General features: G+C 41.0%; 1 protein-coding gene across 5 annotated transcripts in view; it reads right to left on the bottom strand.

Annotated features, from left to right (window-relative positions):
- The window catches only part of GIGYF2 (GRB10 interacting GYF protein 2), a 163,275-nt gene that overhangs the window by 4,931 nt on the left and 138,631 nt on the right, over positions 1 to 19,713 (bottom strand). For 4 of the 5 annotated variants that reach the window (NM_001103146.3, NM_015575.4, NM_001103147.2 and 1 more), the window contains 6 exons: positions 15,704 to 15,826; positions 11,420 to 11,629; positions 11,101 to 11,306; positions 9,789 to 9,943; positions 8,104 to 8,327; positions 5,266 to 5,413 (listed from right to left, as the gene is read on the bottom strand). In NM_001103146.3, coding sequence (NP_001096616.1) covers positions 5,266 to 5,413; positions 8,104 to 8,327; positions 9,789 to 9,943; positions 11,101 to 11,306; positions 11,420 to 11,629; positions 15,704 to 15,826 — 1,066 coding nt within the window. The remainder of the gene's footprint in view (positions 1 to 5,265; positions 5,414 to 8,103; positions 8,328 to 9,788; positions 9,944 to 11,100; positions 11,307 to 11,419; positions 11,630 to 15,703; positions 15,827 to 19,713) is intronic. The other variant, NR_103492.1, reaches the window with a different exon arrangement.

Below are 19,713 nucleotides of genomic sequence, written 5' to 3'. Positions count from 1 at the left end.
TCTTCCCACCAGTCAAAAACTTTATGAAAGTTCTGGCCCAGAGCTTTTGATACTCAGGGTAAGAGGCTCCATGGAAGACACACTATTAAGATCCTTAGAGTCCTCGCATATTCTCTTTCCCACAGTAGACAGAGCAAGAAGATTAAAGTACTCTAACTCGATCTACTGTAAATATATCTGCAAAGGAAAAGATTTCAGTTAGCAATGTTTGATTAACCAAAAGGGAATTTGGCTTAGAAAAAGCAGTACTAGCATACCCATTGAAGGCAATAAGCAGTACTCACAAACACAACTGACAGCTGAAAACCTAATGCTGGCTGGGCACACTGGAGGCCGAGGTGGGTGGATTACTTGAGGCCAGGAGTTAGAGACCAGACTGGCCAACATGGCAAAAACCTGTCGCTACTCAAAATACAAAACATTAGCTGGGCGTGGCGCTGCACGCCTGTAATCCCAGCTACTCGGGAAGCTGAGGCACAAGAATTGCTTGAACCCAGGAGGCAGAGATTTTAGTGAGCTGAGATAACATCACTGCACTCCAGCCTGGGCAACAGAGTGAGACCTTGTCTCAAAAAAAAAAAAAAAAAAAAAAAAGAAAGAAAAAGAAAAAAAGAAAACCTAATGCCGAATGCCCAATGGTCACATGTATGTAATTTTTCCAAAACTTCTATAATTGGAGGTTGATAAAAATGATGAACAATGCCTCTTTAAACTGAGTGACTCCCCAAAAATGTTCCAGTTCTTCTACCTTGAATAAAATCCCAAACTGTTTTAGTTATTTGAATACCAAAAAGTAAACAGGCAATGTCCTTATTCTAAAAGCAGTTCTGTTAATATTAGCTGGGTTTTCTGCAGCCTCTTGTTTTTTCATGTTCAAGTTTTCAAATAAATACACATTTGAAATGTAACAGTAATAAACAAAAATGCCTTACATAAAATACCTTAATTAACTGACTCAAAAATATCATGATTCAAAAAAATAAACATGCCTATTTATTAACCAAAAAAGCTGTGGTACCAACTGCTTACAAGACCAAATATAGGGAGAGGCTAGGATTCCAAACCCCATCCTGAGTTTGACCCCATCAACTGTGTTCCAATAACCCACAAGTCTTTTTCTTCCCCCTTGAAAATAGTGACAGCCTTAGTGTTTATATATATATACATATATATGTATTTTTAAAGACAAGGTCTCACTCTGTCGCCCAGGCTGGAGTGCAGTGGTGTGATCTTGGCTCACTGCAACTTCCACCTCCCAGGCTGAAGCGATCCTCCCACCTCAGCCTCCCCAGTAGCTGGGACTATAAGCGGGTGCCACCACACCCAAGTAATTCTTGTAATTTTTGTAGAGACAAGGTTTTGGCATGTAGCCCAGGCTGGTCCCCAACTCCTGGATTCAAGCAATCCGCCCACGCTGGCCTCCCAAAGTGCTGGGATTACAGTCATGAGTCACCGTGCCTGACCCTAATGTTTATGTTTTTAAAGTAACAGTTAATTAGGCAAGTACAAGAACCTAAAGGCCAGTCTATGAAATAAAATACTACTTTATTCTGAGGCAGATTTTTCATTGACTTCACGTGTATCTTAAGAACAGATAAAATGTGATAAAAGGCAATAATGAACTATATGCAAAAGAAGTGGAAGTGTAATTTAAAAGCTAAATTAATTTTACTCATGCAAAGACAGGAAGGGAAAAGTCTGTGGCCAAAAAAAGTTGATTAATATGTTAATTATCAGTCTAGGCTTTTAGCAAACAGACATATTCTCATTTAACTGTCATTTAAAAAACCAGCAAGGTATGCATTCATCCTTTGGCTGAATGCCATTCTTTATCAAATTCAGCCATTTGATGTAAGGGAAAGTTCTGGGTACTGTGAAACCCAAGGCAACACAAACACGGATTCAATCCACTATGCCTGGCTCTAAAGATGACATTCTGTGAGGTTCAGAGCATAGTCTCACTCACATGAGTTCTTTAAGATTTGTGAGGTTGTTCTTACAAGGAAAGTCTGGGGAGAAACTGTATTGTGTGTTTATCACATCTGAGTGCAGGTTGCTGATTCACAATGACCACCTGAAGAGCTCTAAAAAAAGAGGAAGCCAGCCGGGCACGGTGGCTCACCCTTATAATCCCAGCACTTTGGCAGGCCAAGGCGGGCAGATCACGAGGTCAGGAGATCAAGACCATCCGGGCCAACATGGTGAAACCCCATCTCTACTAAAATACAAAAAGTAGCTGGCGTGGTGGCACGCACCTGTAGTCCCAGCACTCGGGAGGCTGAGGCAGGGGAAATCACTTGAACCCGGGAGGTGGAGGAAGCCTACTGAAGATAGGAGATACTGGAGAATATTGATAATTAAAATGAGGCTGTGGCCCCCTCTGCTGGTTTGTTTTAGAAGCAAAATTCTCTTTCCATCAGTGACTGCTTTTTCAACGAAGACTTCCCATTTTCCCATTTTATGCATGGGGAATGTGTAGCTAATGGATAGTTATTAATTTTTTCTCAGTATACAAATTATATGAAATATGTAAATTAAAAAGTAATAAATGAAAATGAAATAAGTATAGGACAAAAATGAGCAATTATGAGAGGAATTTCCAGAGTGAGGTTTAGGTGAGCAGTAATTTTCATAACCTCAGTGAGTATCCTCAATACTTTGTTCAACGTTTGTTTTTCTTCCCCTTCAAGGTATATGGATTCCTTAAACTCTACTCCTAGGATGACCTATCTCCCACACCCTTATAGTGAGGTTTTTAAAGTCCCTTCCTTTCTTAGATCTATAAATAGAAGATGAGATCCAAGGGAATATTTAAGTCCAAACGGTCTGACCTCATTTTCAGAGCAACCTTTTCCCTAACAGCCTATCCTCAAGTCCCAAAGCTTCTTAGCTAGAACCCACAGTTAGAATTTAAGGAATGTTTTAAAATCTATTCACCAATTTCATCCAAATTGGAAAAAATTTCAGGCTGCTCCATCCATCCTTATCAACTTTTGAGACAAGCAGAGGAAAACAGAATTGCACCAGATCTACAAGTTCCCAAACCCAGCTTTCAGGCACCAATTCTTTGTTATTATTATTTTTAAATAATATTTTAAACATTATTATTTTAAATTATTATTTTTTTGAGACGGAGTCTCACTCTGTCGCACAGGCTGGAGTGCAGTGGCGTGATCTCAGCTCACTGCAACCTCCGCCTCCTAGGCTGCTCAAGTGATTCTCCTGCCTCAGCTTCCCGAGTAGCTGGGATTATAGGCACCCACCACCACGCCCAGCTAATTTTGTATTTTTACTAGAGACGAGGTTTCACCATGTTGGCCAGGCTGGTCTCCAACTCCTGACCTCAAGCGATCCACCCGCCTCAGCCTCCCAAAGATCTGGGATTACAGGCGTGAGTCACCGCGTCTGGCTTCAGGCACCAATTCTAAAGGACAGTCCTAAAAGTTAGGTTTTACTGTCATGTTGTTTTCACCAGGGCTGGAAGGCTCTGAGGGAAAGAGAGAATCCTACCAAGGGTACAGTAAGGTTACCACCTGCCTCTCACTGTGCGGGGTCTCACGCTCTTCATGATGTCCCACAGACATTTCAAACTCAACCCAGTCAACACTCAATTCCCCTCAGCCTGTGCCATGTTCCACTGCTTATCATTTCACAGCAAATGGCAACACCATCCATCCATCCTGGTCCCCAAGCCTGAGACCTTTCCACTCTTCTTGTCCAGTTAATTCTATCCCCTACATTTCTGAAATCCATCTAACTCCTTTTCATCCCCACTACCAAAACCCTATTCCAAGTCACTGGTATCTTTTACCTAGTCTATACTGCAGCCTCCTCACTGTTCTGCCCTCCTGACAGGACAACAACCGGAACTTCCATCCTTGCGAATGTATTCTATTGCAGACAACATGGTTTTATAGCCACTAATTTTACATTCACAAATAGAAAATAATTTTAGGGCCGGGCGTGGCGGTTCACACCTGTAATCCCAGCACTTTGGGAGGCCAAGGCAAGAAGATCACCTGAAGTCAGGAGTTCAAGACCAGCCTGGCCAACATGGCAAAAACCCCTCTCTACTAAAAATACAAAAATTAGCCAGGTGTGGCGGCATGTGCCTGTAGTCTCAGCTACTCAGGAGGCTGAGGCAAGAGAATCGCTTGAACCCGGGAGGCAGAGGTTGCAGTGAGCTGAGATCACGCCACTGCACTCCAGCCTGAGCAAGAGTGAGACTCCATCTCAAAGAAAAAGAAAAAGAAAAAAAAAATGTTAGTTTCATCACTGTTGCAAAAAACATGGGCAGCCTATACTGTTTGTTATTCCTGAAACAATATTCCCCATCCTTTCTGCCATTCTTTCAAAGCCCAAATTCAGATGTCACCTTTTCAGAGAAGCTAGAGTGCAGTGGCATGATCACAGCTCACTGCAGCCTTCAACTCCTGGTCAAGGAATCCCCCTGCCTCATTCTCCCAAGTAGCTGGGACTATAGGTGGGCACCACCATGCCTGTTTTTAAAATTTTTTTTAGAGATATGGTCTCGCTACGTTACCCCAGCTGGTCTCAAACTCCTGGCCTCAAGTGACCCACCTACCTCAGCTTCCCAAAGTGAGCCACCGTGCCCAGCCTGCCTTGCATGGTCCATAATGCTAGATAAAAATAGCCGTGGGTAACACAGAAGGGTGGAAAGAAAACAGGCCTGCCTTGAAATCCCAGCATCCCATAGCAGAAAGCTATGTAACACTGGGAAATGTTCTCAATCTCTGTGCCTTGGTCTACTCATTATTGGTGAAACTGGTATGTCACCTCATAATGCAAAGTAATTCTGAGAATTATATGATACATAGAGTGATTATGAACATATACTGGTTCTCTTCTTGGAACACCTGATCGGATTAATGGTCTGCTTTCAATACAAATAAGCATTTAAGTTTTTAACATACTTTTAGTATCGTTCATTATTAGCATCATTTTCCAACTAAATTACTCAGGATCCTCCAGGGAAATTCATATTAAATATCAAACAATACTTTAAAGCACCAAACAATACTTTAAAGCACCATACAATATAAGTTGTTATTACATGAGGCACAGGTCCTGCACTGAGACGCCCAGTAAATACTGGCTACTTATTTTGAACCAGTTAAAACATTAGTTATTGATAAAAAGAAATATTTCCCTTCTTGAAAAACAATGCTCAATGGAAACTCACACAGGATAACTGGTATCACCTGCACTCCTCCAACACTCAGCTGAGACTAGGACCGTGCTCACCTAATAAACTGGGATCTGCTCGGACCATCTTCTGCTTTTTCTTCTTCTTGCCACTCTGCACAGCCTCAAAATTGGATTGTTGGTTGTTGCTTTGATTGGTCTGAAATACTGAATGGAGTGTACTGTGGTTCATCCCCCACACAGAGTCCTGTGAAATAAGCAGCATGACTGAGATTACACAGCAGATTCAGACTTGGCTCACCCTAGGAAAATGTTTGGTTTGTCCTCACCTTATCAAGAATGAGCTTAAAAGCAGAAAAACAAAAAGCTTTTCATCACATGTTCTAATAATAAAATCAAGAGCGGCCACTGAGCCACCATTTTCCTCTATTTAGACCAAGACATCCCACTCAGGGCTCAGTGCCTCCACAAAGCCTGTCCTGGTTAACTCTGGGTTTCCACCCTGCTGTGACGGCAGAACTTCTCTGGTACATACAGAGTCTGTATCAAATGCTAGGAAATGAATACTGCAAATAATCATGAGCAGACCACTGCACCTCTCACCTAACCAAGAGCAGAAAGTCTCTTTGTTCCCTGGGCCCCAGGACAGAGAGGACAGGGGTGGCATATTACCAAACAAAGTTAAAGTCGTGTACCTTATTCCTATCAGCAATCCCAGAAACGATCTGGCCCAAAAATACTGTCTGTATACTTTCTACCAACTGGTTACACTATGAAATTGCCTACTAGCCCTTCACGCCTACTTGTGGCTCTTATTAGCCAATGAGCCAGTTGAAGGCACAGGTGGTAGTAGTGGGGGAGAAGTGGAAAAAGCTCTGTGGAAGGACAAGCCTGGTGTGAGCATGTGTGTATGCGTGCGCCCATGGGTGCACGTGCTTACTGGGCTTCCATCTTCCTGTTTTAGCCCACAGAGAAGCCATTTCACAAATGCAAAGAGCCTTCTATATTGCTGTATGATGCCTTCTCCTTAAAATATTTTTCCTAGGGCCGGGCGTGGTAGCCCATGCCTGTAATCCCAGCACTTTGGGAGGCTGAGGAGGGCGGATCATGAGGTCGGGAGTTCAAGACCAGCCTGGCCAACATAGTTAAACCCCGTCTCTACTAAAACTAGGAAAAATTAGCCAGGCATGGTGGTGCGTGCCTGTAGTCCCAGCTACTCGGGAGTCTGAGGAAGGAGAATTGCTTGAACCCGGGAGTTGGAGGTTGCAGTGAGCTGAGATCGCGCTACTGCACTCCAGCTTGGGCAACAGAGTGACACTTCCTCCCAAAAAAAAAATTTGTTTTTCCTAGTGTTTCAGTGTTTACATCTTTCACTTTTCCTTCAATTTATGCCTGTTAGCCCATTACCCAGTTGGATGTTAAATGCCTTGTACTTCTCTGTATCTTCCACATCCTCATCGTAAGTGACCCATAATGAATACTGATTATCTCTAGAATAACAATTACAGGAGTAAAGGATATGAATATCTTTAAGCCCTTCCATGAGCCTTGCCATCTTGTCTTTCAGAAAACTTGTAGAATTGATTCTCACAGATTCCATATTTGTGAATTCACCTACTTGTTAAAATGTATTTGTAACCCCAAAATGAATACTTGTAGTGCTTTTATGGTCATTCTAGAAATACACATACTCAGAGCAAAAAACATGAGATGCTAAAGGCATATATTCCCAGTTAAGGTAGAACAAGGAAACAATGCCTTCTTGTTACAGTTCTCAATACTGCCAACAAGTGCCCTTTTTGTGGTCTATTTAGTGCCATGTTTTCCAAATTTTTGTGCTTTTTGTTAATGATTTCACTTTTTGTTTGTTTGTTTTTTGAGGCAGTCTCACTCTGTCACCCAGGCTGGAGTGCAGTGGTGTGATCTTGGCTCACTGCAACCTCTGCCTCCCAGGTTCAAGCAATTTCCTGCCTCAGCCTCCCGAGTAGCTGGGACTATAGGAGCACACCACCATGCCTGGCTAATCTTTGTATTTTTCGTAGAGACGGTATTTCACCATGTTGGCCAAGCTGGTTTTGAACTCCTGACCTCATGATCCACCTGTCTCGGCCTCCCAAAGTGCTGGGATTACGGACATGAGCCACCAGATTTCGCTGTGTAAAGTGGCCCTCAACTATAGTGCTGAAGAACTGGTTGTTGTTCCTAAGCACAGGAAGGCTGTGAGGTGCCTTAGGAAGAAAATACGTGTGCTGGATAAGCTTCATTTGGGCACGAATAGTAGTGCTATTAGTTGTGAGTTCAATGTTAATGAATCAACATATATTAAATGAGGTGTCTTTAAAAAGACACACACATAAAACAAGGTTATGTACTGATCTGGTGAGAAAAATATTGTGACTAGAAGTTTATGGGAACCTAACCCTATATATCCCCTAGGAGCAATGGTTCAGTATTTGCTCAAATTCAGTGTTCATGGGGACTTTACAGAATGTAACTACTGTGAATAATGAGAATCACTGCTGTATTTTTTACATCCCCAACAACAACATGAAATATCTGGCATGCTGCAGTGTTGTCAGTACTCAATACAGTGCATCCTGAACACTGGAAAATTCAACATTTTAAGTTTTAACTTTTCAAAACCAGATCTATGGGTTTGACATGTTGAAATGTGCAATCTAACTATGACACAAATACAAACCAAGAAAAATGGAACTGGTAAACCTAGTGTAAAATGAATGGTTGTACTTGCTATTTGGGAGATACACAAAGGTATCTGGACAAGTAATTTGAAAATATGAAGTATACACATTTTTTAAAGCATGGTTATTGGATATACAAAAATGGTACCTTTGTATTAATTTTCATTTCTTGGGTTACTCAACATCTAAAGGTATTAATCCTCAGAGGTACCGCATACACCACACTACTTTATACCTGCTGTTGTGGCTGCTGTGGCGGCTGCTGTGGCGGCTGCTGCTGCTGCTGCTGTGGCAGCTGCTGCTGCTGACGCTGCTGGTTGGCTTTCTGTTTGGCACGGCGCTCAAGGAACTGCTTGGCAAACTCCTTGGCCTCAGAAGTATCTCCTAAATAGGCCCTGATATAATCATGGACCTCATAAGGAGATTCTACTTCTTTCAGGAAAGAAACAAATGTGGGAACTGCAAAACGGGAGGGGAGAAGATAAGGGTAACAATGAAATAATGAAAGAGAACTTACAAAAATCAGTTTCCATTTTTAATGTATCTTTATACCTAATCAAACATTAATGACAGACACTTGGTAAGTATGCAGCAATTGTGTTTAAATATTCTTTTATCTACCCTATAGAAATGAAAAAAACACTATAATCACAACATCCATACCACATGTTTAATTTCACTGAATGTTATACTGACTGAAACAGTTACTTGACTAAGGCTGAAGTAATTTGGGGATTCATTCTTTCCTTAAGAACCCTCAAATTCAATCAGTATTTATTAACTCCTATGATATGTGTCAGGCACTACAACATACACTAAAGAAAACAGCTATATCTTCCTGGAACTTTCAATCCACTGAGATTTTTTAGAGAGAAATCAAATGGAAAATGTAAGCAGTGTGTGGTATAGGAGAAAAGCATGAGTATCAGAGTTAGACAAACATGGGTTTAAAACCTGACTCTGAAATTTGCTGGCTGTGTGACCTTGATGAGTTATTTAACCATTCTGAGCCTCTGTTTCCTAATTTATAAAATGGGGATAATATCACCTATCTTGTAAAGGTATCTTTAAAAATCACTGCTAATCAAATAACTGGGATGCTGCATGTTAACTCCAAGAGAGTGCCTAGCACACATGGTAGGTGCTTAATGCATGGCAGCCATTACTGTTATTTAAAATTGTTTTCTCTGTAGGCTTTTAAACCATTAGATATTGTTACACTGCTGCAAAGGAACTCTTTAATTCCTTTACTGCTATTTTTCACAGTTTCTTGGCTTTAGACAGGGTATCAGAGGTGGATTAATTCAATTCAGCCTATTAGTTAGGGGAATCCTGACATGTTGACCAGTCTCTCTTCAAATATTCAGGGATGGGAGACAGTTCTGTTTGTAAACAGCTAACCATGAGCAAGTTTTTCTCTAAACTGTGCCAAAGCCTTTTCACTTCTGCACATTGGTCCTAGTTTTATCTTACACAAAATAAGTGTACTTGCTTTATCACAATTCCCATTCCCTCCCCCAAAGGTAGAAAGGGAATGATGTCACATCACTTCAGCCATCACTTGTCCAGGTTGACCTTTGTCCCCAGCATGAGAGTTACTTTTTTTAACTTGACATAGCTGGCAATGTTCCCCATAAAATGAACAGTATGGAACTAAGACCTCCTCTGTCCTGTGTATCATTAAGGCAGTCTAAGATGGCATTTACTTTTTGACAACCACCAATAATCTATTTGAGTTTAGTATTACTGGACTTTTCTCACAAGTAATACTATTAAAGAGTCAAGTTCCTATGGCAGGTGCAGCAGTTGACCTCCTTAGATTTCATCTTTTGACTTTTGGCCCACTGTTCAAATTTGCCAGCCTCTCTGTGGGTCCTGCTCTGTCATTCCACATGCCGGGTTTCCCTCCCCAATTCTTACCATCCAAGTTATTTGCCGTATTAAGGGCATGAAGCATCTGTTCACACCACTGCGTAAATCCATCTTGGGCTTTATTTACTCCCTGAAAGAGCTTCAGCAACTTTTCTTCTTCTTCTACTTTCTTATTCTGCCGGTTAGACACACCTACAGATTTACTAAAGCAAAACAATAGGGTGATATTATATTCCCAGAAACTGTTACTATATGATTATAGTACAACACCATAAATAATGTCTTGGCAATACTGGATGGATGCCCAGTAAATAATCCAATGCTTGGCTCCAAAAAAGAAAAAAATTCAAATATTTGGATTGGATATACCCTTAAAATCTAGCCTCAGTTAATATATCCTAATTTGTGGATACAGGGGTTCTACTTAGAAAAAATGATGAAATTCTTCCTACGTGTCCTTAGGTAAGTTGTTTAATTTTACTAAGCCTCAGTCTCCTCATCTGTAAAACGGTACTAACAACTTTTTTGGGTTATCATAAGTAATAAAGATGTTCTATGAAAAGGCCTACAGCACAGTGCCTGGCAAAGATGCTCAATAAACTAACAGAAATTTATTGTTCTATTCATAATATGTTAGGCCCTAAATCAAGAAGAAACAATCTGACAACACTACCATTTATTAAGTAGTTACTATGTGCCAGGCACTTACTACTTATCATGTATTCATTTAATCTTTACAATTACATGCATAAAGTTGTTATTATTATCTTCATTTTACCGATGAGGGAACTGAGGCCCAAAGAGGTTCCCTCTTGCCCAAGGTCACACAGCTAATAAGTGGTAGTGCTGGGATTTGAGTTCATGTATTTAACACTAAAACCCATGCTCGTTCAACAACACTGTATATTGAAGAAAGAAAGATGAAGATGAAAATGTAACTAACTTATAAAAATAAATAGGTTTAAGGTCATTACAGAGGTATTTTATAATACTCATATTAATAGCATAAATTACTTAAAAATACAAATATAGGAAAAATGCTAAGGTATCTAGAGAATACCTTGGAGAAATGTTCAACAACACAACAAAAACATTATACTATTCCTAATATTTATTAAGTGGTTACCATGTGCTAGGCGATAGAATAAGTGCTCAGCAGGAGCCCCAAGAAATAATACGAATGTGTTTCTATGGGGAAGAAAGCAATCACCATAATTATGACTGCATGTGCTTGAACACAGATGAAAACGGTAAGCAAAAACTCAATAACTACCTTTTCCTGCCCACCCAACATCCCACTTCCTCCATCCCCACCTCCCAACCAACCAAGGTGCATAGGTGTGGTCATTTTGAGCCCTACCTGAGACTGGCGTTGTTTTTATTTTTATTTGTTGAATTCCTAGGTCCCACCTCTTTCACTGCATCATCCCAGAATCCCATGTTGGAGTTTTTAGTGTCAGCATTACTCCAAATACTACTGACTAGGTCAGATGCCCACTGGTTAGGAGGACCAGTATTTATAGAGCCCCAAACAGAATTCCCAATGCTGGTGTGCAGGTTGGAATGCTGTTAAAGAAAAAGAGAAAAATGATTATCGTGAATCATGTTAAAAAGATAAGAAGACAGTCAGAAAAGATAATACTAGTCCATACAACGACAGCTTAGGAAAATGCACACACCGTATTGTTACGAGCTCTGTTTGGTTGCTGGTGTTGCTGCTGCTGCTGCTGCTGCTTTTGCATTTGCCTGGCCTCTTCCTGCTGGATCTCCAGAAGAGATTTCGTGGTACCTGAAGGTTTGCTGACATTCCCCCAACCTGAGAGTTTCTGCTGTTGCTGTTGCTGCTGCTGCTGAAGAGCTTTCATCAACTCCCTCTGCTGGCGCCTTTGCTGTTGCATAAAAACAGAAGCTAGCTGAGGATTCCTGTTTTTAGATAATAGTTATAAATATCCAGTATACTAAATGGAATGTAAATACACAGTAGCTACATAAAATTAACTTGATGGGATTAAATTCTGCTGTTGCAAATAAAAATGTAAATCGCTAACAGTATTAAAAAGGAGAATAAAAACATGAAATGCAAAATTACTTCTTTTTTTATTGTTGTTGAGACTGTGTCTCACTCTTCCGCCCAGGCTGGAGTGCAGTGGCACACTCTCAGCCCACTGGAACCTCCGCCTCCCAGGTTCAAGCCACAATGCCCGGTTAATTTTTTGTATTTTTAGTAGAGATGGGATTTCACCATATTGGCCGGGCTGGTCTCGAACTCCTGGCCTCAAGCGATCTGCCCACCTCGGCTTCCCAAAGTGCTGGGATTACAGGCATGAGCCACAGTGCCCGGCCTCAGAATTACTTTTTTTTTTTTTTTTTTTGAGACAGGGTCTCGCTCTGTCGCCCAGACTGGAGTGCAATGGCACGATCTCAGCTCACTGCAACCTCCGCCTCCCGGGTTCAAGTAATTCTCCTGCCTCGGCCTCCTGAGTAGCTGGGATTACAGGCGCCTGCCACCACACCACGCCTGGCTAATTTTTGTATTTTTAGTAGAGACGGGGTTTCACCATGTTGGTCAGGCTGGCCTTGAACTCCTGACCTTGTAATCCACCCGCCTCAGCCTCCCAAAGTGCTAGGATTACAGGAGTGAGCCACCGAGCCTGGCCAGAATTACTTCTTAAAAATTAAGTAGGCTTTTGGTTAAGCACAGAAATAAAACACATGTTTACTTCCTAAAGCCCCCACCAAAATGACAGATTATACACACACACACACACACACACACACACACACACACACACACACACACAGCATAAACACATGAGGACAAAGAAAACAGAATAGATTTTTTAAAATCTGAAAAGCAGATAAATAATGAGAACCAATGTAACAGACCTAATAAATTGAAATCTAAGTAAAGGAGCTCAGAAACAGGCAGATTCACAAAGAAGGCTCAGGAACTGGAGGTGCTGAGTCTCTCAAACAGAGGAAGACTGGTTGAAAGGCTGTAAAAAGAAGCAGTAAGACTCCAGATTGCCTCCCGCACTCTGTGCAGTTAGGCAATTCACTCTCCCTCACCACAGCAGAAAACCGAACATTCCCTGTCTGAAGAAGCCAAATCAGACTGGCACATTATCCTGTGGGGAAGCCAACCAGCTTGACAAGAGAACACACCTATAAGTAGGTACCAACAAATTGGAGTGGGGGTGGGGGTGGAGGTCCCCAACAGAACAACCCAGCCAGAATCTATTATAGGAAAGCCCATCAAGGTGCTGTACATACCAGAACCTCCAATCAGCTTCTGAGTGCCTTATTTGTAAATAGGAACAAACAGCCCAGAATTACCAAACATTTGACATAAACTTCTAACATAAAAGCCAAAGACCAAAACAAAAATAATTCAGCAGAAATAGAAATAAGAGAACGGCAAAATAGGAGTTGGCTTTTTAAGAAGCTATCAGTAAGTAATATCCTTAGAGAGGTAAGATGGTGCATTTAATGAAACAATAAAAGGCTATAAAAAATACTTAAAGAACAAAATAAGGACTCACAGATGTTTGATATAGCATATATTAAAAGCTCAACAGGGCCAGGTGTGGTAGCTCATGCCTGTAATACCCAACATTTTGGGAAGCCTAGGCAGGAGAATCACTTGAGCTCAGGAGTTCAAGGTTACAGTGAGTTACCATCACACCACTGCACTCCAGCCTGGGTGACAGAGCAAGACCCTGTCTCTAACAGGAGAAGCCCAATAGAAGGACTGCAGGTAAAACTGAGAAAATGCCCCATAGAAAAGATAAAAAGGGTAGGGCGTGGTGGCCCATGCCTATAATCCCAACACTTTGGGAGGCCAAGGTGGGAAGATCGCTTGAGCTCAGGAGTTTGAGGGCAGCCCAGGTAATGCAGTGACACCCGTCTCAAAAAAAAAAAAATTTTTTTTTAAATTAGCCAGGCATGGTGGCACACACCTGTAGTCCTAGCTACATTCCAGCCCAGGAGACACAGCAAGATCTTATCAAAAAAGATAAAAGCACAGAGATGGAAAACAGGAGAAAAAACATGAGAAAATCAAAATCAGTCCTGGGAGAAACATGTAAATAACAGGAACTCAAGAAAAACAAAACAGCAGCTATAAAGCAAGCTGAGAGTGTCCTGATTGGAACAGGTTAGAGGCCCCCAGAAAGGATGCCTCCAGGGATGATAATGAAATAAAATCATCTTGGGTTTTTCTACGTAAGAAATATGTGAAATGTGTATTAAGAGGCACCCTTATAAAGGGTACAGGGAGACTTAAAAGTTCCAAGAAAATTAAATGAAAATACAAATGAAGGCAGGGCACGGTGGCTCATGTCTGTTATTCCAGCACTTTGGGAGGCCGAGGCGGGTGGATCACTTGAGGTCAGGAGTTTGAAACCAGCCTGGCCAACATGGTGAAACTCCGTCTCTACTAAAAATACTTAAAAAAAAAAAAAAAAAAAAAAATAGCTGGTGGTGGTGGCAAGTGCCTGTAATCCCAGCTACTCGGGAGGCTGAGGCAGGAGAATCACTTGAACTCAGGAGGTGGAGGCTGCAGTGAGCCGAGATCGCGCCACTGCACTCCTGCCTGGGTGACAGAGCGAGCCTCAGTCTCTAAAAGAAAAAAAAGAAAAAGAAAACACGAATGAAATAATTATTAACTTCTGGTAGACAGGAGAAGACCTGTGATTCCTTGTCATTACCACTATTATTATCTTCTCATTCAGTAGGGACCAAAATTAGTGGAATAATTTCTAGCTTTGAAGGGAGAGACATACTCTGTTCTGCATCCATTTGTTGATAACCTTTTAGAGAAAGATGATTCCAGAGAAAGTTCAATTCTTTTTTTTTTTTTTCTTAAATAAAGGTGGGAAATAAGGTCATCTTCAAGTGTGAAGAAACATCTTATCTTACTGGATGACTTCAAGCACACTACCTGGTAAACACATATAGACAATTTCTATTTCTCCTTGTGTATCCAAAGCCCTCCTAATTTCAGTGAACCACATGACCCAGATCCAAAAATGACAACTTACATTCTCTAACAAATTGACTGCTCTACCTCAAATCATATCCACATAAAGCATCTTCAAGACTCTGCTATATTATGTCACCTTTTCAGAGGCCTTCTCAGAACACACTACCTAAATTTGGACAATCCACCACACCATCATTATCCCTGACTCCCAACACTCTCCCTACCCACCTTCCCTTGTTACCTCTCTGACACTTATCAACCTCTCATACGCTTCATTTTCTACTTTTCTCTTCTCAATCAGAGGGTCAGCTTCATGAATGCAGAAAATCTTGCCTGTTTTAGACTCAGCTATATCCCCAGACCTTAAGTGAGTAGGTACTCAGTAAACATGTGTTGAATGAATGAATGAATGAATGAATGAATGAGCACCGAATGGCATACTGAACCAAACTATGAAAATTATTCATTTTCTCCTCTCTGTCAAAAGCTGTGTTATTCCCCTTCCCTTTTATACTCTTTTGTATCCTTCCTACCCTAATGATGAACTACAGGATATACACTTAAAAGCAGAGGTACTTTATTTCTGTCACATTTTTCTAGACTAGTCAGGGAACCCAGTGTCTTTAGAGAAAAACATATTCTGCTTTCTAGACATCAGACTTATAAAAGATTATCTGCACACAACTCACCCACAATTTTGAACAACCCGTGTAGTTTTATTTATGAGGTCTTCTCAAGAACTACAGTAAAATGTTTAAGAAAACTGAACAGTTATGTTACTCAATCTTCATGTTATACCTATGAGATCCTTCACATTTGCTAGGGTAACCAAATTATGGGCTGAAGTTTAATAATGAACGTCCAATTCAGACACACAACAATTCTGACAGTAATTGTCCTCAGTAACCACTAACCCATAATGCATGCTAGATATTCTGGAACATCGCTTGACTAGATCCCTTTTACTTTAAAATTTTACCTCTTCTCGAAGCTGCCGTTCTCGTTCTTCCTCTAGTTTTTGGATTTCAGCCAACGACAGCGTGGCCTGGGACTGACATGCTGTTGTATTGGACTGCTGGCCCCACGTTGAAGAAGAAGGAAGCTAACAAAAAAGGGAAGGCCAGAAAGTTCATGAGGAAATGTGGACAGGAAACAAAGAAGCAATAATGCATTATGTATACCCAGAACAAATGCATTTCTCTCAACTCCATTTACCACATTCAATTCAAATTTCCTTCTTCATTGCTTTTACTTACTATCCTCTCAGCTTCTTTTGCTTAAGTTTTTGTCACTGCTCCAAACCTAAGTTTATTTTAAAACAACTTATAATACACATACACACTTACATTTCATCTACCTCTTGGTGACAACAAATTTGTTACATCTGGTACTGACATAAACAGCAATATACAACCATAAAGAGGAGTAAACAAAAGAATCACTAAATTGGCTTAAGGATTTTTTAATTGACGAAAGCAACAAAGGACATGATATGCTGCTGTCCAGTGAAAGTGTTAAGGACACGATTTCTGAGGGTAGCACCATGAGATTTCTCATCTCATGAGAGATGCTGGCATAGTTCTTGATCAGCCTTTATGAAAGGGAGCCACTGTTAACCAGGCTGTAGCTTCTAGTCATGAGCATTAAGCTGCTTTTAATCAATAATTTTATTTTTCCCATCCCTTAAGATTATTGACTAAAATAGAGTATAAATATCTAGGTCCTGAATATTTCAATATTCTCAAAGCCTGATTATTCTCAGAGAACCCCTTGCTCTTCCTGGCCAGAAAAAGACACACTTTTAATACTGAGGCATCAAACAAGCGAACACAATAAAAAAGAAACCTAACCAGACTTAAAAAATGTATTTAATAAAAATAATACATGAACATAGATCAAAACAAATAAAATGCCAAACAGTCCCCAAAAGAATGGACCTACAGCAGAAATCTATAACAGTGGATATTGATAGGATAAAAGGTATAAACAGTTTAAACCATCACTGATACTGCCAAACAACTCTTCAAATGAATGTCTTCAACACTACTGAACATAATCAACTCTTAACATTTTTTAGCCAATATGACAGACAATAGGGCATTTCTCTCAAAATGCACCTGCCCTGGGGTGGGGGAGGGGTGCAGAGGGAAGTTAACAAAGACTGGGGGAGGGAGGTGTTGAGAGGCAAAACTGAGCAAAAATTAACTTTGTCTCCACAGGAAATGACTCATTTGAAGGCACTATCAAGATCAAGTAAGGCAGTAGATCTCAAACTGGCAGCATAACCTGAAGGGACCTATAAAAATGTAGAGGCCCTGGCTCCACCACACCTAATCAATCAGAAGATCAGAAGGGAAGGCAGGAGAATCAGCATATTTTAATCATTCTGATGCAGCCAGTAACCACTGATGTTGTCTAAAATCACAGTAGATGTGTCACCCCATGGTAATCAGGAAACAATCTTTCAAGCCCGCTTCAGCAGAACTCAGCCAGCACTGGGAATAGAGGCAGTGCCTCCAGAAATGGCCATCTATCCTCACGGGCACCTCTGAGAATCTTCCTATTGCTGTGCCAAAATATATTTATTTTCTCTCTCCTCCCTGGCCTGACTCCCTATTTCTCTCTATATACACACACATACATATGCGTGTATATATATATATACACATGCACACACACATACACACATATACATATACATACACACGCTCTTTCTCTAGGTATATATACACACAAAATATATACTCTATATTTCATAGGTCTGTTCTACAGACCAAAGTTAAGTCTTCCTTATATAGACTTATGTCTGCTGATAGCTTTCATTTTCCTTAAGTCTTCTTTGTACATCGGAAATAATATCCCAGAGCTCTTTCAACATTGCCTCATGACACTTACCAGCCCACCCTATAATGCCCACTCAGGAGAACTGCAGTGTGTCAATCATGCTTCTCAGAACAAACTTTTGACAAATCAAAAGCAAATAGGGACCCCCGAATGCCTAATGTCCTTCATTGATTTTTAAAACTATACTCTTCTTGTTCTGCGCTGACATTGCTACCTTACATTTCAACACTGGTTTTGCTTTAAGAAATAACTGTTTCACTGTCGGAATGACAGCATGAGGAGCTGCGTGGACCTGCTCCCTGGCAAAACTGGTGAAGATCATTTTTAAAATAATCATTTAAACTCTCTGGCTGGCAGCAGGGCCCCACACCTGTAATCCCAGCACTTTGGGAGGCCGAGGCAGGCGGATCACTTGAGGTCAGGAGTTTGACATCAGCCTGGCCAACATGGCAAAATCCCATTTCTACTAAAAATAAAAAAAAAAAGTAGCTGGGTGTGGTGACGCACACCTTTAATCCAGCTACTTAGGAGGCTGAGGCCAGGAGGATCGCTTGAACTCAGGAGGCGGAGGTTGCAGTGAGCTGAGATCGTGTCACTGCACTCCAGCCTGGGCGACAGAGCCAGACCCTGTCTCAAAAAAATAAATAAAGTCTCTGGAAATACTCCTAAGGGCATACAGCAAATGAAAAAAAGTTTATTCAAGAATATTTGCTAAAACTCAGTAAGAACAGCAAGAGTTGGTGATACTTAAACCAAGACCTACTCTCCTTCTCTCCTCCCAGCTTAATGAGACAGAAACTCCACTCTAGACTGGTACAGTCAAGACACGGCTTCCCTTCTCCCCTCAGCCATCAGTCAGCAGGCTTTCTTCCTGGGAAAAGCACATCGGTGTGTCTCACCCTGATGGCAGTCACCTGTGACAAATGCTAAGTTCCAAACAAGTGCAACAGATGTGGAGGCTCTCTTCTTGTGCCCAGCCCCACTCATAGGATGGAAACTTGACCACAGCAACACCAACACTAGGGTCGTGATCACCAATGCAGCTGGCCGGGCCAAGCCATCAGGAGAGGCAAGCCAAGAATACCTGAGGCTACTATTCTGCCCACCCTTCAGCAAATGTTAGAGGAAAGCAGACCACTGTGCCCACTTCCAGAGCTGACTGAGAGATTTTTGTCTGAGGGTAGTGGTGTAGGAAACAGGTAGAAAACAGAAAGCTCCAGGTTTCTTCCCAAAGGAACTGACTTTATTTGCAACAGACAGTGGATGAGTTCAAGCCTAATGGTGTTTTCAGAAACAGTAGAAGTTGGGATAAAAGGCAATTAGGAGGAGACTGGTAGATTCATAGGAGATACAGGCTAAACTGTAGGAGGCTGCTACCTTATCTGAGAAAACTAGTTAAAGAAAACTAGAAGAAATCCTCCCGGAGTCAAAACAAATTTCATATATAGACCTCAGGAGCTATTTCTTCAAAGAAACCTGAATTTAAGTGGATCAGTCTGTCAGTGTATGCCCCAAGGGATTTTTTTTTTTTTTTTTTTTTTGAGACAGGGTCTCACTCCGTCACCCAGGCTGGAGTGCAGTGGTATGATTTTGGCCCACTATAACCTCTGTCTCCCAGGCTCAAGTGATCTTCCCACCTCAGCCTCCTGAGTAGCTAGGACCACAGGCACACATCACCACGCCTGAATAATTTATTTATATATATATTTATATTTATATATATTTATATTTATATATATTTATATTTATATATATAAATATATAAGTATATATATGTATATATATATATATATATATATATATATATATATATATATATATATATATATATATATATATATATGTAGAGATGGGGTTTCACCATGTTGCCCAGGCTGGTACTGAATTCCTGAGCTCCAGCGAACCACCAGCCTCGGCCTCCCAAAGTGCTGGGATTATAGGCGTGAGCCACTGCACCCAGCCCAGGACAATTTTAACCCATTTCCCATCTGCCCCGAGAATATTTGCTGGCAGCATGTGCAGCTGCAGCGTTTACCCAGGGCTAACTCGCAGGTTTTTTTTCCTAGATCATTTGGCATCTGTTTTCTGTTCCAACAAGCTGTCCTAACTGCATCAGTGCTGTTTGGATATAATTCTCTGAAAAGC

The sequence above is a fragment of the Homo sapiens genome, chromosome 2 (genome assembly GCF_000001405.40).
Source record: "Homo sapiens chromosome 2, GRCh38.p14 Primary Assembly".
Lineage (NCBI taxonomy): Eukaryota > Metazoa > Chordata > Mammalia > Primates > Hominidae > Homo > Homo sapiens.
Note: the sequence above shows the minus strand (reverse complement) of the source record. Positions and strands in the feature narration are given on the sequence as shown.